This window comes from Homo sapiens, chromosome 1 (genome assembly GCF_000001405.40).
Source record: "Homo sapiens chromosome 1, GRCh38.p14 Primary Assembly".
In the NCBI taxonomy this organism is placed as follows: Eukaryota; Metazoa; Chordata; class Mammalia; order Primates; family Hominidae; genus Homo; species Homo sapiens.
The window spans coordinates 66,633,586-66,658,727 of NC_000001.11; the positions used below are offsets into that span (position 1 = coordinate 66,633,586).

The 25,142-nt window shown below is 38.1% G+C and overlaps 1 protein-coding gene across 55 annotated transcripts in view, besides 1 other annotated feature; it reads left to right on the plus strand.

Annotated features, from left to right (window-relative positions):
* The window catches only part of SGIP1 (SH3GL interacting endocytic adaptor 1), a 217,779-nt gene that overhangs the window by 100,225 nt on the left and 92,412 nt on the right, over positions 1 to 25,142 (plus strand). For 19 of the 55 annotated variants that reach the window (NM_001376535.1, NM_001376549.1, XM_047432059.1 and 16 more), the window contains 4 exons: positions 2,359 to 2,430; positions 6,192 to 6,248; positions 9,225 to 9,279; positions 9,959 to 10,134. In NM_001376535.1, the coding sequence (NP_001363464.1) occupies positions 2,359 to 2,430; positions 6,192 to 6,248; positions 9,225 to 9,279; positions 9,959 to 10,134 (360 nt within the window). Of the gene's footprint in view, positions 1 to 494; positions 579 to 2,358; positions 2,431 to 6,191; positions 6,249 to 9,224; positions 9,280 to 9,958; positions 10,135 to 25,142 lie in introns of all 55 variants that reach the window. The other 36 variants (NM_001376542.1, XM_005271270.5, XM_047432051.1 and 33 more) reach the window with 3 other exon arrangements.
* Positions 15,550 to 15,719: an enhancer, noted in NCBI's record as "active region_1166". NCBI's record gives its function as "activates an Ori minimal core promoter by ATAC-STARR-seq in GM12878 lymphoblastoid cells {active_cell/tissue: GM12878}" and the evidence as "EXISTENCE:reporter gene assay evidence [ECO:0000049][PMID:35858748]".

The following is a 25,142-nucleotide window of genomic DNA, read 5'->3' on the forward strand; positions in this document are numbered from 1 at the left end:
AGCCTGAAAGAGGAAAATGTGTCCACTGGGTTTAGATTTAACAGTTAACTCTGACTCCTTGCTGGCCACCAGAATTCTTGCTTTTTAAAGAAGTCCGTGGTGCATGGGCTTAGATTTATCCGAGTTGTGCTTACGGGAGTCTGCACCGACTCCTAAAATGACTTCCTTCAAATCTAAATCAGATGCCTATTCAGAAGGTTCAAAAGAACAGCTGTTACTGAAAAAAAAATGGACTTACATTAGGCTCATTGGGCTGGAGTGGGAACTAAAATAAACCTGATGGTTAAAAAATTTTTTAAATCACCCTTCACAATATTATACATAAACTGGGGTGTTAATTGCAGCTATAGCAGGAATTTTCCTTCCACACTTGACTCAAGGTTCTTAGCTTTGGGGCGCCTTTTGCCTTCATGTGGTTCTTACCATGAAATGTTAAGAAAATAGACTGAAATTGATCAGACATTGGGTAACACTATAATCAAGGCTCTATTCAGCAGGGGAAAAAAAAGACCCAGAAGACTCAGCTTCTCCTCACCTCTTGCTTCTGGCTCAGAGCCCTCTCGTTAACTCTGTCTCAGGTACTCTCTGCTTCTGTGTCTCTTCTTTGCTTCCGGCTTGGTCCCCTCCCTGGGTTCTCTGGTCCCCTCTGACCTTTGCAAAGCTCTGTTAGCTACTCTGCTTTCTATCCTTGCTGCTCCCAGACTGGATTGCTATTCCTTGCTTCTCTACCTCTGCCACTCTCAGTCTTGTCCTTATTTTCTTTCTCCAAACCCCTGCTCATTGTCTCTAAGGCCCCCTTGCTGCTTCACTATTCTCTGTGTTCTGAGCAGCACCAACTTAAATCTCTGGTAGAATGTGCACCCTGGTACCTGGTACAGCAGCTGACACGTGGCAGGCAATGATGAGTATGTGCTGCATTAATGAACCCAGCAGTCATTCTGGGGACGCATCCCCCCAGGGCAGGGCTTCATGCCTGAGTTCCCCAAGTCCTTCACCATTCCAAATCATATGACGTTCTTTATTAGCAGTTGTGCCCACTTTGTTACTTAATTAGAAATGCCATAAATATCACTGATCATGATTATTAGGAAAGATAAATTAGTTAATTTTGATTTCTTAGGAAATAACACAGACCTGTTCTGGAAAAGGCTACGTTCAAAATAAATGCACTTCCTCAGAAACAGGCTTTATAGGTAATTGGACATTATTAGCCAGCTGCTGGTTTTACCATTTAGAAATGTTCTCCAAGTTTTCCACGTTTACTATGGTCACTGAATTTTGGAAACCAGTGCTAACTGAGTTTCTGTCTGCATTCAGTTCTCAGAGATACCGACCTGATTTTCCTTCAAACTCAGACTGATTTCCTTCAGCCCTTGTTTCTATAGACCCAGTTCACTTTTGCTTGGCTGATATAGCTTTCAAATTATTGCCTTTTGAATGTCAAGTGTTGAAATGTGTGGTTTCATTAATGTAGTTCCACAAACTACAGGTGGTGGTGCACCTACCTAATGCTTATAAACTACTTGGTAAACACAAGCTTTAATGTACTGTTGTTTATTTAATGCCAGTTTCTCAAAATCTAACGAAGCTCATCTCTGGTGACAATGCTTCTGAGGTTTAACCTATAGAGGCTTCGCAGCAGGGCTGCATGCATGAAGGTGGGCCTTGCTCCCCACTGGCTGAATGTACCCATCACTGGCAGAGCTGTCTGTCATGGTGTCCGAGTGTGACAATGCATCCTAACCTAGACACAAACTCTAATTTATGCAGGGCAAACTAACTTTTTTCCAAGCAGTTCCAGTTTCCCTCCACACATAGACTTGGAACATCAGGGTCATAGCCTTTGCTGTGAGAAGGTCATTTTTTATCACCCTGAACAGGTGTGCAGGAAAGGGCACAGATTTGGAGCTATCAGCTGTGTGTGCTGTATGTATTTGTGACCCACAGGAAGGCTTTGATCCAGGCTAAACTGAACTTTTCCTACTTAGGTTAGAAATACAAACATTTTTATTCAGTCTCTTCTTGTGTGTCCTTGTGCCTGTTCTCTACGTGTAAATTAAATGCTGGCTGTATGAGAAATAGATCCACATGGTCCCTAGTGCCTGGGACATATCTTCCTCCTCCTCCCTTCTTCTCTTGGCCTAACCAAGCTGGCCTGCTGAATAGAGCCTCATTATGGGCCCCAAAGTCCACTCTTTGCTTAAGGAACCCTGCCAAGATTGGTAGGCCGTATGATTTGGCCTAGAGATGGTTTCTTCTATGGTATGTTTGCTGACTCCATGTAATTCTTTATATGTGTCTTGAAGAACAAGCAGATCTTTTAACCACTTTTTTCTACATGAAAACAATCAATTCCAGCAGCCCAGCCCACACGAACCACCCTACAATAGCAAAGCAGAGTGTGCGCGTGAAGGAGGAAAAAAAGTTTCGGTAAGGAAACAGATTTTAGTTTAAAATTTCCAAAGGGTTATAAAAAACAGTGAGTAAAATCCCAATTTAAAATTTGGAAAACACAGTAGTTTTCATTTACTCCATTTAAGAAAACTCTTAGGTATTTCCAAATGACTTCTTGAATGTCTGGGGCCAATTTTTAAATTAACCATATAGACTTTATGGACTGACATCTGAATATACTTTTAAAGAGTGATCACACATAAAAGATGTGTGTTACCTGTTTCATCGACAAAGGACAGGAATTCAAATTTTAAAAAGAATCTACTATCTATAAAGAAGCCTTTGGCTATAATAGAAATATCACCACATAAATTGAGTAGTCATTTCTTAGGATAAGCACTGTCTCAATAACATCAGGAATTTGGCAGAAACTTGATCTGTAGGAGCCAGTGTATTTGACCAAAGGACATTGAGTCGGGGATGCTGACCCTAGCCCAAACTCTGTAGTACCTATAGCCGTGTTGTACATTATGGTAGCCACATGTGACTATTTAATTAAAATTCAGTTCCTCAGTTGCACTTGACACATTTCAAGTACTTCATAGCCACTTGTGGCTAGTGGCTACCATCTTGGATAGCACACAGGTAGAATATTGCCATCTTCACAGATATTTCTATTGGGCCGTGCTGTTCTATAGAATTATTTACAAAGTGAGTCAGGTCTACCACAGTGGAGAAAAGATAATATTTAGGCAGTACGTCATGTACCTTTAACACGCCCCACCCAAGGATCATTACCTGGCCATGAGCTGACCTTGAAAGCCAGAGGCATTCCCAATGGAAACTGAGAATTTTGATGAATGTATAATTGAACTTAACTGTCACTATATTTATCTATTTAGCCCATCATGTTATCTAAGAACAGATAATGTATGCCTAACCAAAGTAAAATACCTATGAAGACATGATTAGCGTCACTGTGAGTCTCAGTTATCTTTAAATAATAATCATATTCAAGTTATAGAAGTTACTTATGTTAAGGTAGGATTTTTGAATTTTAAGAAATACAAAAAAAAAGGAAAAGGTAAAAATCTATATAATTACAATTCCAAGAGAAAAATCGTTGTTTATATGTTGGTGCCTAACTGATATTTCCTTTACTCTTAAGCCTGGTTTTTAAGTGGTGTTTCCCCACTTCACTGATATTCTTCCTTGCTTCTTCTTCTTGAAAGTTTTCCATTTGAAAATCAATAGACTCATTATCTTCACTATTACTAGTACTACAGTTGCACCTTTCTCAATGGTTAAACCAACAAAGAATTGTTTTTTTCTTGGGTTTGAGCCAGAAGAATTCCATCCAGGCTCTGGCCTAACTTTAACTTGATAATTTTCACTTGGGAAACCAAAGATATTTGTAAGAATCCACTGGCATAACTGAGACCAAATTCCTCTAATAAAGCCGTGTGTGTGTGTGTTTGTGTGTGTGTGTGTGTGTGTGTGTGTGTGTGTGTTGAATATCTGCCAAAAATAATGTATTGTTATGATTTGTTGTTTGTTTTTAGTATTCGTTTTTAAAGTGTCCCTATTTTTGAAGAAAAAATTTCTACAAGTTTTGTTTTCCCTTTATCTCAATCTTCCTTTGGTTTTCATGCAAACTGGGAAATTTTCACTCTGCCTAGATCGTCAAATTTAGAACTCAGCTTTCTTTCTACAGTATTAGATATATGTTGTCAGGAAGGAAAGAAAAACAAGTATATATATATATCTGTGTGTGTGTATAGGTATCTGTGTATGTCTATTTATATATATGCATGTGTGTGTATGTATGTGTGTATGTATATATGTGTGTACATATACATACACACATATATACATACACACATACATACACACAAATATATATATATATAAACTGTTTAGCTGAACATATAAGCCATCTTGGTTTTTAAGGGCCTTAGTTACGAAGATGAGATTATCATGGAAGCAAACTGTAGAACTTTGAAAATTTTGAACTCAGTAATTTATCTAATCTGTGGTTTTGGGTAACAATCCTAGATCACAAAATTCATGAGTTTACTTTTCTGGAATCTGCTTAGTCCTTTTGATCTCCTATCAATATAAATTAAATGTCTATATTGAACTTGTTTATTATACATACTTTCTAAGAAGGAGTGGAGCACTTTGCAAAGAAGTCATATACAAACAGACTGGTAAAGCAGAAATTAAAAGAGAAAGTAAATATGATAAAGAGAAAATAGGAGCCCTGTCTATTCCCAAGTGAGAGAATAATTTTTATTAAGTGGTACATTATGTAATGGACCAGTTCTCAACAGTGGCTTCGTAACGTACACATAGGCAGAGTTCGTATGACAGGTTTTACAAAGACCTTTGTTCAAAGTAGAAAAAATACCACTGAAGCACTAATTCAATGAAGGCAATTATATGGGAAGATTAAAATGATGTAGTCTGCATACAAATAATCTATGTCAGAAGTGGGACAAAGAGGGAGATGGTCACAGACCTTATGTCCATGGATGCTTGTCTGTGGAGGCATGGCCCAGTTCTTATATTTGTAAATTCTAGTGCAGTGGTAGTATATTGGAAGAAAGAGGGGATGAACACATTATCTATTTCTTGTGCATTATTCACCCTTGCCAAAGCCCTGCTAGTCCATAGAATGCCCAGTCAATATTCACTGTTATTCAATGATAACGATTATTCTGGGTTATCTAGTGATCCTATGTGCACACATAAAAATCTAATTTCTCCACCCATTTGTCAAATTGGGTATTAGTTGTTTACATTGCAGTTCAAGTGGCCTTTATTTGTTGTTGCAAAATTAGAGGTCCTGTGTCCAAGCCTCATGCGTCACCATTTGATGTGTGTTGTTCTGAGATCTGCTATGCGCAGTGACATACCCTTGCTCCATGTGCTAAATATAAGAATGTTGAATGAACCCTCCTTTACCAACGTGATTTGTGTTTGTCGTTTGCTCACAAGACATAGAAAATCTTGGCAATATCTATTTGGGTGATGCCACATCTTTGCTCAAGTGCTTGTGGCCATGTGTCATGGTTGTACTAGGGGACAAAGAAAACTTTAAGAAGAGAGTAGTGCTGATATCCAGTAAACTTGCAATGATGCGTGCTCATGGAGGCACAGATCACATGGGTGACAAAAATCCACCATTAATCCTCAAATTCTATTTTTAAAATTTGATAAGAAAAGCCATTTGAAAAAAACATTATTTTTAATAACTAGGAACTGAATGAACTGATTTAGAGCTGACTTACTCTGTGTTTTATCAAGGGGGTAGTTACAAAAAAATTGAGTGCTAAAATGCTAAAAGACTAGTTAATGACTTGGATGAGTACTCTTTGAATATGTTGTAACTAATTGTATATAATAGCAGCATGGAGGTAAAAGTGTTACCATTTAAAATACATATATACACGGCTATATCTCCTGTAGATTTAGAGGATTCCATTACAATAAAGGTGCTGCTAATTCTTCAGTAATTGAATAAAATTTGAACAGTTCATCGTTAATATCCCTGTGCCTCAGTATCCTACAATCTTTTGTGAAATAAGTACATATGCCCTTTTATGCAGTGTCACAGCAGCTAGATTTACCATTCCATTACACAAATGTGGCTCCTTAATAAACTGCTCTAATATGTCTTTCCAGTGCTGGATTTTGATAGCTTTTGCTAAATGCAGATAAGAGTTAAATGTTCTTTGTCCCTTTGTTTTTATTCAAATGTTTTCCTTCTAAATTCATTTTCAAATTTATTACAGAAGAAAAGCAATGGGGCACCAAATGGATTTTATGCGGAAATTGATTGGGAAAGATATGTGAGTATCAGAAGAGTGTTTCTCTTTATTAAGTATTTTACAGTTTAAAAATGAGTTGAGGCATTCTTATAATAGGACTTAGAAATAAGCGAAATGCTCTCCATGTCATTAGGAAGTGTCTGGCATATTTAGGATGGGGCTAAGAACAATAGAGTCTGTCAGAACTGGGTTTAAGATCTTGTCCAAGCTTGTCTAACTTTATGAGATTTTTTGTGATTTATTTATTTATTTTAGCTGATCAGCTATTGTTAATGTTAATGTATTTTATGTGTGGCCCAAGACGATTCTTCTTCTTCCAATGTGGCCTAGGGAAGCCAAAAGATTGGACACCCTGATCTAGCCCCCACACATATCAGCTGTGTGTGGCCTTGGAGTAGTTATTTGCTGGGTAGCAAAAAAGAAGTCAGTAGTTACCACGTGTCATTGTTGCAAGGATTCAAGGAGCTAATTATTTGCAAAACATTTCAGTAACCTGCCTAGCCTGTAGTATTTGTTCAAAAAATGCTTTTTTAATATTAAATCTGGGTGTTTCAGCCCTGGTTCTACTTCTTAGAAGCTTTCAGAATAGAGGCAAGTCAACCTGATTTTGGCAGGAAAGGCTTCAGGGAGGATGTGACCTCTGGGCAAAGGCCTAACATATACATAGAGGCTAACAGGCTGAACATTTGGGGGAAGAGAATTGCAGGCAGGGGGAACAGAGTTGATGAGGTCCCTGAAATGAGACAGTGCTTGAAGCACCCAAATCACAAATGTTGGGAAGGAGAGAACATGTGGCTGAGAGGGGATCAATGGAAGATAATTACAAATGCGAAGCTAGAGAGAGGGGCAGGAGCCAGCCCTGCTGGGCCTTATTGGCTACACAGAGGCACTTGACTTTTGTTCTAAATGCAGCGAGAAGCCAGGGACGGGTTTTTAGCAGGTAAGTTACCTCAGTACACTTGTATTAAAAAAAAAAAAAGCAACTCTGAGAACTGAAGAAGGAGGAAAAGAGGAAGACCACAATAAATGCTCAAAAAAATGGTGAGTTTCAGACATAGAAAGAAAAATACTGTATGATCTTGCTTATACGCAGAATCTAAAAAGAAGCCAAATATGGGAGGCTGAGGCACGAGAATTGCTTGAACCCGGGAGGCAGAGGTTGCAGTGAGCTGAGATCGCACCACTGCACTCCAGCCTGAGCAACACAGAGACTTTGTCTTAAAAAAGAAAAAGAAGTCAAATACATAGAAACAGTAGAAAAGTAGTCAGCAGGGATAGAAAGAGAAAGGAAATGGAAGAAGTAGGTCAAAGAGTACAAATTTGCAGTAAGGTGAGATGAAGTCTAGATATCTAATGTACTAAAAATTTGCTAAGAGTTTAAGTGCTCTTATACACACACACATAAAAAGGGCAACTATGGAAGGTAACAGAAATGTAAATTTAACCGTAGTAGTCATTTTGCTATGTATATGCATATCAAAACATATTGTACACCTTAAATATAGACAATAAAAAAGATTTTTTTAATGGGGGCTTTTTCCATGGTATGTAGACCCTCTTCTTTCTCCATGGTTATGGCATTTTTACTGCTTTATTAACTCCCAAAACTAACTCTCCAACTCTGCCTTCTCTCACTGACAGACCTATAACCTCAACTTCAACAGGGCCACCTACAAATGCTTCATCTTCCTCCCCTCTAGGACATAGGGTATAGTCTGAAACACCTGGGATCAAAACCTAGATCTGACATTTGTTGGGTGTGTTTCCTTGAGAAATGGCGTCTGATTTCTCTTATTTTCCCCCTTGATAAATGGGATAATTCTTTTCACATATGCTTGTTATGTGGCTCAGTGAGGTAAAATATGGGTCACAATGCTTACCATATAATAAGAATCCAAATATGATCATTCTAATCCCAACAATGCAAACTGCCTTTTTATGTTTTCAGCTTCTTTCCAAAAAATGTTAGTTGTCTGCTGTTAGAATTAGTTCAACTGGGAGTACCAGCACTCTCCCACAATTTGAGGGTAGAAATCTTGGATTCCTCTTTAACCTTCCCTCTGCTTTTTCTCCTATGGCTGACTGATCTGTTACCAAGAACCAGCAATCCATCCTTTCAAACATCCTTGATTCATCCCATCCCACCAATAACTCTATCCATATCCTTAGCACATCTTGCCTGAATCGATGCACATGTTTTAAATTAGTTTTTCTTTCTCCAGTTCTTCTGCCCCAAGGCTATCCTGGAACATACTTCCAGAACTCCTTAAGATTCTGCTTTCAGTATGCACCACCCTAGCTGAGAAGCTGCAGTAGCTACCTCAAGTCCAAACTCTTCCCCTGGCCTGTTGGCCTCCGTAGTCTCATCTCCCCATCTCCCGCTGTGCAGCTTCTTCTCCAGCCATGTCATCCTTGCTGTTGCCCCTCTGTTTCCCCATCTGAGTCACCCAGTGTCCACTCCCATCTTGGTGTCTCTGAACAGGCTCTTCCTTACCACCTAGAAGGAGCTCCTACTCTGCCCTCTCCTGTCTGTCCTGAAAGACCCATAAAGACCTCCCTGATTCTTTTAAACCTCACTAATTTCCTTTTCTTGGAACCCTGTCTAACACAGGTGTTTTGTGTTTTGTATTTTCTTTTTAATTTTTACCTACCGAAACACACTTCAATTTCCCTGAGGACAAATAATCTACATTTCTTATCACCCATGTTGCTTAGCACAGTCCTTGGCTTACAGGAAATGCATGTTAAATTCTGCTTGAATGCTTTCTTTCATTGACAGTTGATTCCTCCTCGTTTATTTTCCCAGTAGGAGGACTCTCCAAGTATCCTTGAGTAAATATCTAAACATATTGCTCAGAATTCACTTCCAAAAGTAAAAACTTCATCTCCTAAAAGAAAAGACTTTTCTATATCCTTAAATAGAAGACTCTAGAAAAAAAATAATTTCTTGATCACTGTTAGGATAATAATTACTTCATGTGCACTTGTGTTTTATAGAACTCACCTGAGCTGGATGAAGAAGGCTACAGCATCAGACCCGAGGAACCCGGCTATATCCTTTCTTTATTTTTTTATTTTAATTTTCATTCACTCTCAGAAAACAGTAGGATAAATTCAGATTTTACAAAAGTAATAAAATAACCGAATCTTCACAAGTCCTGTTATCCCTAATATTAGAGATGAATAAACAGCACTGAGAACACCCTGAGCTCTAGCAAGCAGGCATTTTGCCTTAATCTATTCATAGAAAAGAGAGAGGAGAAAGAGAAAAACGTGCTAAAAAAACGCTAATCCCTGATATGACTGTCATTTACAGTGACTAGAAAATAGCTCTTACTGTCCTCTCCCTACAATTCAACTCTGGGCAAAGCATGTCACACTGATGCATTTAAAACTCATCGAGGATCATTCATAAAGCAGCCTTCCTCTCTCTGTAGATGAGTAAGCTCACATGTGCTTGTCTGTGTGTGCTGAGTATGACACAACAAATGGTCAACTGCAGCAAAAATGTAGGATATTAGAACCATTGCTTCTTGAAATTCACCATCCTTGATCATGTTCTGAGGAAAGGTGAATAAATTCTAACCCCTTCCTCCTTTACTTTTGTATGTTTTGCTTTGATTTTCTGCCATCTAAGGATACTTTTGCTGTCTCTATATGCAATTGCTCTTGTCTTGGAGTCGTTGCCTCCCAGTAGAAGAAAGAGTTATGTATCTTTAACTGTGTTCTACCTACCAAAGGAAAGCACTTTTATTCTTCAAGTGAATCGGAAGAAGAAGAAGAATCACATAAGAAATTTAATATCAAGATTAAACCATTGCAATCTAAAGACATTCTTAAGAATGCTGCAACTGTAGATGAATTGAAGGCATCAATAGGCAACATCGCACTTTCCCCATCACCAGTGGTGAGTGTTGTGTGTGTGTGTGTTAAGCTTTAGTGAGATTGAACAGGGCTATGTTCTGCCTATATGCATTAAGTCAATCAGAAACTCCTTAAATTGAAGCCTGCATATGGTCACCATATCATGAATTCTATAAATCTAAGAAGCTCATTCTAGCTTGAGAAAATTGTACTTATTTTATATTGCAGTCCTTGTGCTTTTCAAAAAGGTGAAAAATATATGGAACCACATTTTCTTTTGACTTATTTTCCTGCAAGCATTTTAAAAAGAAAAAAAAATAAAAAGATTATCCAGAATTATCTCTCATGCAGACTTAGCAACTAGAAACAACATGAAGTTCACAGATTTGCTAACAGTGATTTTTAAAAACACATCTTAGTTTCCTTTTTTATGATACACCACATGAAAATACGTGGAAGGAAACTGGTTATTTTTTGTATTGCTATGCTCTAAAACCAAAAACTAATCCAAATCATAGTCTAAATCAAATTTAAAACTCATATCCTTCATTCTATTGTATTATCAAATTGACTTAAATAATCTCATCTTTAAGGTACCTCAGATATAAGTATTGTCCTATTTATATTGTTCAAGTAGGTATTTTCCTACAGACAAGCTAAGATTTGGGGTAAAAAAAAAAAAGAGATTATTTTTGCACAATTTGCACTTTCATTCCCCAATTCCCAGCTACTAAGTTTCTTTAATTGCTGAATTCTGGGTTCCAACATGTACAGCCTTTTCTCTGTTTGATAAATGCCACCATTGTTTTCTAAAAATGGTTGTGAGGAACAGATGAAGGCTCTCAAACTGGCAGCTAATGTGTTCTTGGCATCTTCTTTAGAGAGATGTGATCTCGTACAGCATTCCCCCTGAACAGAGCAGTTAATAAATGCTGAACCATTTTCGAGATGCTTCAGGAAACATCTCAACTAACCTTTCTAAATGAATTGTAATCATCCATCTTTTGAGAATAAACTTTTGCCTCCCTGGGATGAAAAGTGTCTATAATGACGCTTTCTTTAGTGTTTAATGCTTATAATGGACTTGATCACTACTGTTGGTAACAACCAAAATGATTGCTAAGAGAAACTAACCACAGTAAATAATATTTAAGGTGATTTTTAATCATATACTCCCCTGCTACTTTAAGATGTCTTCTTGAAAAGGGAAGCATGAAATGTATTAGTTTTCTTTTCCTTCTATAATGGAAGGTGCAGATTTTAAAGTTACATATTGGCCTGTGAGTTCTAGTAATGGTGGTATTTTAAAAGCACACTCTTTCACTTTTCAGTGGCATCTTTCAAATTATTTTTCACTTACTGAATAATATTTTTTACTGAAAATCTCCTTAAATGTCTAAAACCAGTTTACAGCCATGTCTGTGCAGTTTATTTTATTCACTTCTCTGAGTTTGTTCTCTGTGTAATAAACTGGCCCTTTGGAAGCTACCTGGGGTAAGTAAAAGAAGGCAAGTTCAGAGGATTAAGTGAACACATTTATGTGAAAGCAAATGTACCGGCACAGTCCCAGAAACATAGTGGATGTTTGCCGGAATGTAGCTGAATCCAGGAAGGAAGAGATTCCCTCTTTTGAATGGAATATGTATGCCTAAGTTTTCTGGTAGCTATTCCTCCAACCAGATACATTGCTAAGGATGCAGCAAAATGTGGTGGTTTACTCTAAGCTCTTCTCAACATCTATTTTTAAGGAAATATATTGACATGATGTGGTTAAGATTCTGATGAAAAAATGTTAAGGGAAGCAGAGTGAAAACTAGATGGAGACACCCAGAGAGAGTGACCTCGGAGTTACTCTGTTTCTGCAAACCAACAACGCCACAGACCAAGGGACCCTCAGCTCCCATTCCTGCACCCACACCTCCAGTTTGTTCCCTGTAATGTGAGAACCTGGATCTCCTATTTTTGTGATTCCTAAATATTTATAATTTTTCATAGTTGGTGTGGAAGAGTGAGCTGTTACTACTTTAGGAAAAGGTGAGCAGGTTTCTGGATGTACATGAGTTTAAAGAGAGGTTGTAACTGAAAACATATTCTTGGCTTTAGAATCTTTGCCCTCTCCTTGATAACCCGTGTGTAAATATAGATAGATATAGATATAGATAGTTTTGTTGTTGTTGTTGTTTAGACAGAGTCTTGCTCCGTTGCTCAGGCTGGAGTGCAATGGTATGATGTCGGCTGACTGCAACCTCCACCTCACGGGTTCAAGTGAGTCTCTTGCCTCAGCCTCCCAAGTAGCTGGGATTACAGGCACGTGCCACCATGCCTGGCTACTTTTGGTATTTTCAGTAGAGACAGTGTTTCACCACATTGGCCAGGCTGGTCTCGAATTGCTGACCTCAGGTGATTCGTCCGCCTTAGCTTCCCAAAGTGCTGGGATTACAGGTGTGAGCCACCGCACCCAGCCATGTACATATATTTTATAAATGACATATGCAGCACTTCCTCTCCAGAGCCAGATAAGCAGAAATAACCTAAAATCCAGCTGGTGCCATGATCAAAATGACAATGATTTTGGACTTTCATGTCTCCAGCCAAAAGAGCAGACAATTATACATCTATACTTTCTTCAGGCACTAAAAAGGAAATAGGGTCTACACAAGTTAATGATATATCAGAATATTTTATTTAAACTATGGTTTTTATACTACAAAAGCATCAATCATTACATTAATAGAAATGAGGAAATTTCAAATAATAAATTATTCATAACAATGGTTTACGTTGGACTTCTGATTTATGTTTCTTTTGAAGTTTTTAAGATAAAGTCGTGCCTCACTTATTCTTTTCATTTATTTGTTAATATGTATCCATGAACTATAACCAATTTGATCTCTTTTATCATGAATTGGTTTTATTATACTTGAATAGTTTCGCTATATATATTGGGCGGTCAAATTAACGAATGAAATGAAATGGGAGGAATGAATGAATCATATAATTATATGTATATACAATATAAACTTATCTGAAATTTACTTCTCAAGACAAAGTGTCAGAAGCAAGACAAATCAAGATTTTAATTGCTGGCAACAATCCTATTGTACAGTTAGACAAATAAACAAAATTTTAGTCCAGATTTTGCCTTAGCCCTTGATTTTGATATAGAAATAAAATATAATGTTGGCCAGGACAAGGCAGAGCACCAAAAAGGCAGAAGGCTAATGCAGGAGTTAACTCACAGGTAAAGGATAATAATTCTTTTTCTTATCATGTTCCAGCCTGCTGATAAGATACCAAGCTTACAGGGCAAAGAATGAACATCACCCAGGTTTGCCATCTGGTCAGGTTGATTTGGCATCTGTGTAAGTTAGAATATTTGTTAAGCTGTTTTAACAGAGACCAAAATAATAATGGCTTAAACAATATAGGTGGTTTCTTTCTCTCCCAAGTGAAAGTCAAAGCTGATAGACAGTCCAGAGGTAAAAGAGTCTTACTCCAGTGGTCATTCAGAAACCCAGGAATTTTCTGCATTATTGCTTCTCGTTTCCTAGAGTAGCACTGCTGCCTTACCACTGCAAGTACTTCCATGCACCAGCCTTGGGATGGAGGAAAGAATAAATAAAAAGCAAGTGGTTTTCTTTAAGAGTTTAACTCAGAAGTTGCGCGCATCACTACCACCCAGATCCCACTGCCACAATTTAATCACATGGACACATTCACTGCAAGGGAGTCTGGAAAATGTAGTGTTTTGCTAGATAAACATGTAGTAGCCAGCTAACATTCGGGGTTTTATTACTAAAAGACAAAAGAACAAATGGCTATTGGTGGACTTTGACAGTTTCTTCCACTGGGTCCTGAATTATATTGTATCTGCATCTTAAGGTTAGAATTAAGTAATCTCAGATTATTTCAGAGAGTTCATTAGGAAACGGGATTTCTTCCCATATATGTTTTAAAATATTCCCAGTACCTATTAAATCCAGAATGTTCTAAAATAATTTTCTAATCACTAATTTATAAATACTAGTGATACCGTGCTGCTTGTTAGCTAACAACAGGTTGAACAGAGACACTCCAGTGTCCCTCTGTTTATGCAGGTTCACTGTTTTTTAAGGCAGGCTGTTCCATTGCTGAAAGAAAAGTCTTCCTTTTATTAAACCAAATATGTAATTTTGTCCTTGATTGTAGTTGTACTCTTTAAAGGATGAACAAATGGTAAAGCCCCTTCTTTTACCAGTGAGTTTTCAATGAAGCAGAATGACTCCAACTCCAAGTTCAGTGTGCAAGATGTTTTTTAAGGAGTGACCTTGGACTTAATACCTGTGATGTGGGGTGGGCAGAGGGAGAAGTTGAGCTGCTTTACACAACGAACAACAGCCTGAGCTGATCCCAGGGAAACTCAGGAACTAGTAGGAGCCTTCAGAGTTAGTGTGAGTTTGGCTAAGATGAATAACCTTGATACTGCTCAACCAGTCAGTGCTCTGATGTGGGCCACACTAGGAAGGGGCATGCCCTTGGGTTAGGTAGCTCTCTGCAGTTGAGGCAGATCCTGAGGTGCTGACAGTTGAAGGCTGCCAATAGCCCTCCCAGCAACTGGTGCAAGGAAACCTTCTGAAGAAGATTCTGCATGGTGCATTTTGGTGTCCATCCCAAATTCTCTGTTCTTGACATAAGGCCTAGTGTGTCATTGCCATTCAATTAATGCTTGCAAGTGAGTGAGTGAGTGAGTGAACAAATACATGAATGGAACCAGGCTAAGGACACAGAACCATGGCATGTCACCACCCTCCAGTTTTACAACCATCCACTGATAACACCCTTCAGCCTCCTTTGTTCACCACACAATGATTCTCCTAACTGTGCCCTAATCCTGGGCACATATTTTCATTCTTTTTTTCCAGAACAACACTGCGTTTGAGAGACCTGGGGTGTCTATGGCATTGCCTAGACCTACCAGGCCAGAAACCCTATCAGAGAGAGTGATAGGTTCAGTTTGCCCTGTTTCTTTGCGCTGGCACCTAGGGTTATCACCTTCTTTTCCAAGTGCTTTCTGGCTATCTGTTTAAATATTTTGTTCTAGAATTTTGGGTTAATCACAAGCCAGTGTGTAGTAACAGAAGGCACATATCACATAGATTCAGATTGTCCTGGGCCCCAGCCCAGGTCGACCACTTTCTACCTGTGTAACCTTAGACAAGCCCCATAACTGTTCTGATCCTCCATTTCTGCCACTGTAAAGGAAGGATGATAAGAATCCTTAAGGACTTTTTGTGCAGAAGATCCTAATAACAGTACATGATGTGTAATTGGTACTCTGCAATTGTTCATTTCTTCATTACTTAACCTAGATTCTTTTAAAAAAACCACTTCTCCTTTTTTGAGGGTCATGCTCTGCTTCCCCATGTTCAGCCTTCTGACCTAACAGCATACTGTGTTTTCATGTCCTGGGTTAAAATGTATCTACATCTCGAGGCTAGAATTCTGTTAAAGCAGCTTGGAATTCTCTTGCCTGTCTCAGACTTTAATTCTGAGCCAAATCTGATCTGCCTTTTAGAGGAACTACTTTTAAGTTAGTTTTCTCCATCTTGGACAATTATGGTTGATTTCTCTTTAAACACAAACAGAAACTTTGTACATACCCCCTGAAGGAACTGAGGTACAGTGGGAAAAGTGCCAGCCCTGACCTCAGCCTCTTGCTAGCAGTACTGCTTAGGTAAGGTACTTAAACCTCAGTGAGAGTCTCAGTTTCTTTCTGTCTGAAATGGGACAAACAAACAGCTACCTTACAGGGTGGTTGTTGCCATGGTCATCTCTTTCTGCTAGTGCAGTGTAAAGACCACTCTCCCTAAAGGAGGAGATAGAGACAGATGCAACACGAACAGTTCTGTGGTTTGCTTGCCTTTACACCACACTCTTTACATTTAGGGTAGAAGCAAACCTCCATTATATCATACAAGAAAAGGCTTTGTTCTTAAAGAGTAAAATAATTTTTGAAGGAGGCTAAATAAAATAATCAGTGCAGGAATTAATTATAAGGAAATATGACTTCACACACACACATGCACACACACAAAAAAAATAACCAAAGTCAGAATTCAACATACAATTGAATTGAATTGAATACAATTCCCTTTAAGATAATTTGAGGGAAAAAGAAATGACACTTACTCCAATGATGTCCCAATTACTCAAACAAGAGGGTTCTACCTCCTTTTAGTTGATGACTTTTGGTATGTTGAAAACCCAGTGCCTTGGTTTCTTCATCTATTAATGGGGTGACTCCCATACCTACTTCATTGGGCTATTTTGAGGGTTGAATGATTTAATGTATGTAAAGTACTCCTAATAGAAGCTACATGTAAAGATTGTCTCATTGCTATAGAGCCTAGGGCACATTTTAAAGAATATCATTAATAGTGATAAATAACTCAAATTTCCAAAAGTAATTTAGAGCCAAGACCAGTAATTAATTACCCATTAATTACCCAAAGCATCAAACTGGGAAAAGGTGTTTTTTGTGATGCCTTTTGAAGACAATTCCAGAAGGAAGTATCCCTAAATTGTTTTGAGTACCATCAACATCCCCTGAATACATATGGTACTTCTTCGGGAGACTTATTGAAGGCTAACATTCACAATGGCACACTTCATTGTGCATCATGGATAATTGACTTTATTTCTAACTCCCCCTTCAAATCATTTCACAAAATATATGTTGAGCACCTTCCATGTAGCAGGCACTGAGAGCTAATACCAGAAATACTGAACAGTCTGAGAAAACAACATCTAGTAGCAACCAGAAGCTGAAATTTTTCTTGTGGTTCAAACGCTTGCCTGTCTTCACTTCAGTTTCCTGATTGGTTTTCTGCAGCCCACATTCCCCCTGGCCTCCATTTCTAGGTCTCCTGGCTTGCTCACCCTTCCTAGGGTCTCAGATACGGACATCTCCATTCCTTCCAAATCCCACACGGAGCACTGTCTGACACATCTGCACCATGTGCTGTGCTCAGCAGGTACCTTAAAACCTGTGGCTCCCATGGCTTTTGTGGGAGTGAGAAGACAAATGCTATGGTTTAATCTTTGATGTGATCTTTTCCTTTTATAATGTGCTCCCATGGATTCCTTTATTTTTGTTTTTCAGAGAGCCAATAATCCCTTCTGGCTTACCTTGAGAAGGTGTCTTTTAACTACAAGCATTTTGTTCCTTACTGATTAAGATACTGTGCTCTGGAGTAAGTCAGAACTAAGTTTGCATTCTGACTTTCCGTTTATTATCCATGTAGCCCTGAGCAAATTGCTTAACTCTTTAAGCCTCAGTCAAGGCTTAATCGAGTGTAAAATAAGGTTAATAATACTGCCCACTTCATAGGATATTTGTAAGAATTAAGGAATGCATATAAGGTGCTTAGTACTTTGTAAGTAAATTTATGTAAGGTCTAAAAGAGGTGCTTAGTAAATGATAGCTATTATTAATCAGGATAACAATAAAATATCAAAGTCATCCTTTAAGCTCATTGATGACTTTGAGAACTTATCATGGTGATGAATTTGGTAGTGGCAGCTGTGAACACGAGTGCTGTGTGTCACATACATTAATTCATTCATGCTCCCAACAACCTGTGAGATCAGTACTATTGATATCCCCACTTTACAGATGAGAAAGTTGAGACATTGAGGGATTTATTATCTCACTCGAAGCATCACAGCTAGTAACTGAAGTTGCTGGGATTTAAACTCAGAAAGTTCTGTTTCTAATTGAGAACTCTTAACCACTATATTACACTAGTTTTGATGAAAGCCATTGACTCTCTTTCTAGAAAAAAAAGTTCACTAGCTCATTCAAAATATTTTACATACAATTTCTGAATGCTCACATGAAATAAACTCTTTGAAGGATATCGATGGATGCTCAAAGGGCCCATAATCCCAGCCCAAAGGGCCCACCTCACAGACTTTCTCCCCACTGAGTTCATCCACATCCACCCATAGAAGACCATCCAGTCTTCTATGGTACAGCACTTCCTATATTGTACCACATGACAGGAGAGCGAGGCTGAGTTGACACCTTGCCAGGTCAGGCTTAAATGCTGTTGTGTGATATGTGATTTCTCATTTATTAAAATTATCTTATTATATATGCAGATTGTTTGCACTTTTGTTTTAAATGTTAAGGAATGATGTCCATTTTATATGGCTCATTTATTTCAGTTCCCCTAATCAGTTAATCAATTGGCAAGCACTTTTTATGTCAATGGCATATTATAATAATGCTATGTTTTATAAATGCCCAGTCATGATCAAAAGGATGAAATGAGTAGCAGCACTATTAAGCAATCTGGGAGGTAGTGATGCCCCTATTTTACGGAGAAACCAGCACAGAAAGATCAAGAGACAAGGATAAATAGAATGAACACAGGCTTTTGAGTATATATCTTATTATCTGTGTGGTCATAGGCGAGTTCCTCAACTCGGAGCTTCAGATCTCATGGCTGTAAAATGGGAAAAAAATTGTGTCTACCTTCTTATGACATGAGAAAATATTGTAAAATACCCAGTTCAGTGCTGTCTCCCAGAAAAGGTGCCATTAAATATCAATCACCTTCTCAGCTTTGCTTTCCTTTTCCTTAAGTTCAGAGACTTGTAGGAGGCAGAAGGAAAATAAAAATAGCGAGGGAGGACTTGAGCAAACTCACAAGGGCTGAGAGAAATGATGTGAGAGCAGGAGCTGACCTACCCTGGCGTGTAGGCTAGTGCCTTCTCCCTTCCTCTGGAAAGTAAGTGGTACAGTGAAGTAAAGAATCTGACATTGAGTCATGAAGGAACAATTAGTTTAATCTTCATCCTGGAGATTTGCAATGCATAACTTTTTAACCAAAAAAATATGAGGAGGGGGAAATAGCTTTGAACTGGAGACAGTCTGGTGTTGTTTGCCTGTTCCATGTGGCCCACCCACCCTTCCACCCCCAAATTAGCCTGCCAGAGAGCAAAATTCATGAATTTGCCGCTGCTTGGTAACACCACCCCCTTTCCTGTCCTCACTTCAGCAGAAGGTTCAGCACCCCATTGAGTTCAGTGAAAACAAAGAGTCATCAGTGGAGGAGGTGAGCTCCAGTCTCCTACACACCAGCATTCTCTCCTGGTAGAAGCAGTGCACAGTGCAAGGAGAGGCTAAAGATTGCATGCATTCTGATGCAAGGCACTCAGCCCAGACCTCTTATTTAGTAAATTAGAAGGCAGAGGTTCAGCTTGAGTTCTACTCATCAAGGAAAGCTTCGTAGGGCAAATGTGATTTGTATTGGTCTATACCAGGGATATCAAACATGGGGCATATAAACTGCCACTCCATCCCCAAATCTTCCACAGACATTGCCACTAAATCCCAGACATGGGCTTAGAAGCCAGCCCCCTCTAGACAGACCTGCAGGCAGCTGGACAAAAATCAGCTAGAGTTAACACATGAGACGCAACTTTTGTTTTTCCCAGGACTCATAGAGGATAGATGGGAAAATAGGTGGAAATTTTCTTTTTCAAAATATATTTTTTTCTTCTCAACATTTTAATAAACCATGGACTGTGTGCAGAAAATTAGTTTTGTATCTGATACATGCTTTTTCTTTCCTTCATTACTGATTTTTTTTTCCCTAGGAAATTTTCTGTTGCTTCCATTTCCTGACATTTAAAATCCACACCTTTCATGCCCACCTTACTCTGGTAAAAAGAAATCCCTGAGCTGTATGAATATTTAGTATTCAACCTGGAGTGCCTTTGTCATGATTTCTCCAATTAATGTTGGTTGTACCTTCTCAGTAGATGGTATTTTGCTCTCTTCCTGAAATGTAAGGGTTAGATTTTTCTTGCATAAACACAATTCCTACATCATTTTATACTGTCTGGGCAAGCTGACCTGATTTGAGGGTTCTGGAAACATGATCACCATGGTTGGAGATCACAAACACTCAATTTCTGTAACAAAATCAAAATTTCATTGAATAAGGCTGTGTACTCACAATATTGACACATTGTATAAAATGTTAGGATGGCCTCAGTAGAAGTAGCAAATTATTGAATTACATGTTTTTTATTATAATGTTAATTGCAATCAAAAAACGCTAACTTTTATACCTTTAAGGTCTGCCTTGATGTTAAATGTTAGTAGCATTTAGAATTTAAAACTATTTTGATTAGCTAAGGGCCATAGTCAGGGTAGAATGTGCTCTGTAAAGAAGCAACCAATTTTGAAAGTAAGTTTTTTACAGAAGCCTACTTTGTGAACAGTTTACTGAATGTTGGGTTTCTAACAACAAATCTTGCACCCAGAGCTTGTAGGTTGTCTACTTTTTCTCTAAGGAGGCATTTTCTCTAGGGCCCACAGCAGTGAATGACACATAGTAGGTACTTAGAAAATAATTGTTGATTGTCTGGGTGGATGGATGCACCACGGGACATTATATAAAATGTATGCCGTATCTAGCTCTGCTATAATGCAACTTACATTACTTGCATTATTTTACAAATAGAGCAAATTTATGGTCTCAGTTGCTTTGATCTTTTCCTCTTCAACTTAACCAAGTTTCTTTTTTCACTACTTGATGGGTGAACAATAAGATCAATAATTTCCTGTTTCTTCCTCTACAATGTGTAGGTTCTTTAAAAAAGTTTGTTAATGTGTTCTTTTCTGTGGGTCCTAGTGCACATCCAGTGAGATTGTTTTCTCATCTAAAGCCTGAGGTTTTCAGTCATTTAGTTGTCTTCAACCTTGAGGGTCACTTTATCAATGATTATCTTTCTTGTACAATTATACTTATTTTTTTACTAAGGAGTTTCTACAAATATGTGAATAATAGTATAAATAAGCATAACAGTATAAGAAAAAAAAAATCTATCCCTTTGCCCTCTGAAGGAGATTTTGTTTTAGTGGCAGCAGTCTACAGCAGTAAATGTACTTTTTATTGTTTTAGAAAAAAAAATCTTACAGTGTGAATCACTCATATTAATTATGTCAAAAAATTTTTCCTCAAAGACTGGGGAGAATGTCCTTTCTAAACAGAATGAAGGTGATATTTCCTTCTGACTTATGTCTGTCTAAAGGACAGCCTCTAACTGCCCATGGACCTTGGAGCTGTAGCTTGAAATAGCAGCCAGCACAGAAGAGGTGCAGAGCTGTGCCTGCCAGCCAAGCTGCCTGTCCCAATGTGGGCAACAGAGACAGAGGGCAGATGGACTGGCCTCAGTGTGTTTTGCCCAACTGAAACTCCTTTCCACTTTGTAACCTATTTGAAGCCCATCTTTATTTCATTATTTTTTAAACACAGCACAGGGAGAATCAAAATGAGTTTCCAAAGAGGAATGACAAATGACAGCACATATCATAACCAGGTATTTTCTGATATTTTTTCATCCATGCCTCTTCTCAACACCAACAGTTACTAAATGTCCACACCTCAGAACTCCTGATAAGTAACAGCAATAAGCCGCATTGGAGCAGAGTAAAGCCAAAATCTTCACGGTGGTCTTCAAGAGCCTCATTGTCAAGATTCCCCCATCCCTAGACTAACGCCTGCCATTCTTCCCTCTCCTTCCACTACTCCCTGGCTCCCTGGGAGCCCTCTTCCCCTAGATAGCTGTATTGTGACCTCCCTCAACAACTTCATCTGTTTGCTCAGTCACTTTCTCAAGGAAGCCTACCCTGCCCACCTTATATAAAATCGCAAAACCCTTTGCCCTGGAATTCCTGAACCCCTTTATTTGCTCTACTTTTTAAAATTGCATTTGCCGTCTTCTAAAATACTAAATACTTTCCTTATTTAATTATTACACAGCCGTGTGTTGCTTAATTGTTGTTAGGCAATTTTATCATTGTGTGCACAACACAGAGTGCACTTACACAAACCTAGATGGTATAGCCTACCACACACCTAGGCTGCATGGTATAGCCTATTGCTCTTAGGCTACAAATATGTATAGCATGTTACTATGTTGAATACCATAGGCAAATGTAACACAACGGTATCTGTGTATCCAAACATAGAAAAAGTACAGTAAAAATATGGCATGAAAGATTTGTTTAAATGGTATGCCTGTATAAGGCATTTACCATGAATGGAGTTTGCAGGGCTCAAAGTTGCTCTCGGTGAGCCAGTGAGTGGATGTGAAGGCCTAGGACATGACTGGACACTACTGCAGACTTTGTAAACACTGTACAATTAGGCTACCCTAAATTTATAAAATTAGCCTTATAACTCTTTTACTTTGTAAACTTCTAAATTTTTTAAAATGTATTGACTCTTTTGTTATAACATTTAATGCAAAAACATTGTACAGCTGTATGAAAATACTTTATACTCTTTCTTTGTAGTATTTAAGGTATTTTAATACTTTATAATAGTTAAATTCTTTATACTCTATTCTACAAGCTTTTTTCTATTAAAAATTTTTCTTTTCACTTTTTAAACTTTTTAGTTAAAAACTGAGACACAAACACAAACATTAACCTAGACCTACACAGGGTCAGGACCAGCAACATCACTGTCTTTCCCCTCCACCTTTTATCCCACTGGAAGGCCTGCAGGGGCAATAACACACATGGAGCTGTCACCTCCTCTGGTGACAATGCCTTCTTCTGAAATACCTCCTGAAGGACCTGCGCAAGGCTGTTTTACAGTTAGTTAACTTGTTTTTTATAAGTGGAAGGAGTATACTCAAAAAGTAACAATAAATAGTATAGTAAATACATAAACCAGTAACAGCCATTTATATAATCAAGTATTTGTACTTAATAATACAGCAGCACAGGCGGTTTGTTTACGCCAGCATCACCACAAGCACATGGGTAATGCATTGCACTATGACATCACTAGGCAATAGAAATTTTTCAACTCTGTCATAATCTTATGGGACCACCATCGTATACGCAGTCCATCGTTGACCAAAGCATCCATATACAATGCATGACAGTATTTATTACTGATTATCTTTCTCCTTCCCCTGCTCCCAGATGTAAACCCATTGGAGCTTTTATGGCCTTTTCTGTTGTTCACTAATGTCCCTAAAATAGTGTCTGGTATTTACTAGGTGCTCAATAAATATCTGTTAATGGCTTAATAAATGAATAATCCTTTTGCTCCTTGTGAATACCCAACCAGTCGTAAATAACTGAGACAAAGTGATTATTTTATAATAGAATCCCATTTATCAAAATATAAAGAATCAGATTGGGCATAGTGGCTCATGCCTATAATCCCAGTGCTTTGGGAAGCAACGTTGGGAGGATAGCTTGAGCCCAGGAGTTTGAGACCAGCCTGAGCAACATAGCGAGACCCCGTCTTTACAAAAAATAAAATAAAAATAAAATTACCCAGGCGCAGTGGCATGCACCTATAATCCCAGCTACTCAGGAGGCTGAGATGGGAGGATCACTTGAGCCCAGGAGTTCAAGGTTAGAGTGAGCTATGATTACACCACTGCGCTTCAGCCTGGGGAATAAAACTAGACCCTATCTCTAAAAATATATCATATAAATGAAAATAAAAAGAGGAAGATTCAGGATACAGCCATCCTATTTTTAAGGTTCAATGATTGCAGACTCTTAAAAGGCTTACAGATTCAACCTGACTTTTATGTCTTGATCCCACTCTATGATGCCTGATGCCAAAATTCCCATGGCAGCTCAATTCCTTGTTAAGCTAGGAAGCAAGCAGAGATGTAATCAGAGCACGAAACCTTCATGTAAGTGACCATCAAAACTGGTTTATATTTTCTTCATTCACCTCTATTAGCTTTGATTCTCAAACACAATTCAATTTTGAATTGGTTTCTAACCCCTCATGCAAAAATGTAGTCCTCAACAAAACCTAACTTGAGTGCATACTTGCATTTTACCATGTTATTTGGAGTAATAACAGCCAGAGAGAGACAGAGAGAGAGACTCTCCAGCTGCAGAGGATAAGGGTCTATGAGTTCCTTGAAAGCTGTTGATTATGGGATAAGCCACTTTTCAACAAGCTTTGTCAGTCAGAAATTGTGTTTTCTTAGACTATTGGACAAAAAAAAATCCCTGTACTTTGTAACCATTCAATGGTTATATTTTAGGTAAATTTATGCTTTACTCCAAAAATTCACTTACTCTATTTCTATTTACAAGTAAGCCCAGAGGAATATCACTCCCATTTCTCTTATTTATCTTTTCCATAATTAAAAATAAACTCTGATGCTATTAGCCCATTTTAAATCGAAAACATCTTTGTTTTTTCCTATCTTTGTTTTTATTGTTTTTTTCAACATTCTGAAGAAACCTTTAAGCTAAGAGGTCAGGATAATAGCCTAGGTGTTGATAGCTGCTGCCATAGCAAAACAACATATTAAATAAAGATGGTTTAATATATGCGGTAGCCTGAGGTGGAGAGATGTAGAGGAGGGGAGGGGTAACCTTTATCATTTGTGTGTTCATGTTTAGTCTTCTGATTTTAATTAAATAAGATGCATTTTATTTTAGAAAAGGCTGAGAAATTTACCTTATAAGTAAGAGTTTTAGTTCAAGGACTGAAAACTACAAGGATGTAGTCCCTTTCTTGGCCCTTAACTATTCTGAAGCATTAGTTTTTGCTCTAGGAGAAAATTCTGCCCTGGAGATCTGAACACATAATCTACACTAATGTTGTACAAAGCTGTGCCACTTCTTTAGAACATTTGCAACATGTGTAAGCACCTGAGGTCACTAACAGGCAGAGAAATTAACAGTTAAGTAGGAACTAACTGAAATATTTATGGAGCTGGTGAAAGAAACATTACAACTGAGGACACATAGCTTGTGCCATATATAATTCAACCTTATTTCAGACAACAATTTATTTTTTATATTTCAAAAGACACTGTGCTTCAAACATTTGTATAATGTTTCAATGGCTCCCCAAAAAGGGAATTTATAAACATGTGTTGAGTGCCTCACTCTATGTTTGGGGCTAGAGAGAATCCATGCATAGCCATTACTGTGAGCTAATAATCAAGTGGAGATATCTAAATAATACAGAACAAAATAAAAATTGCAGAAATGTA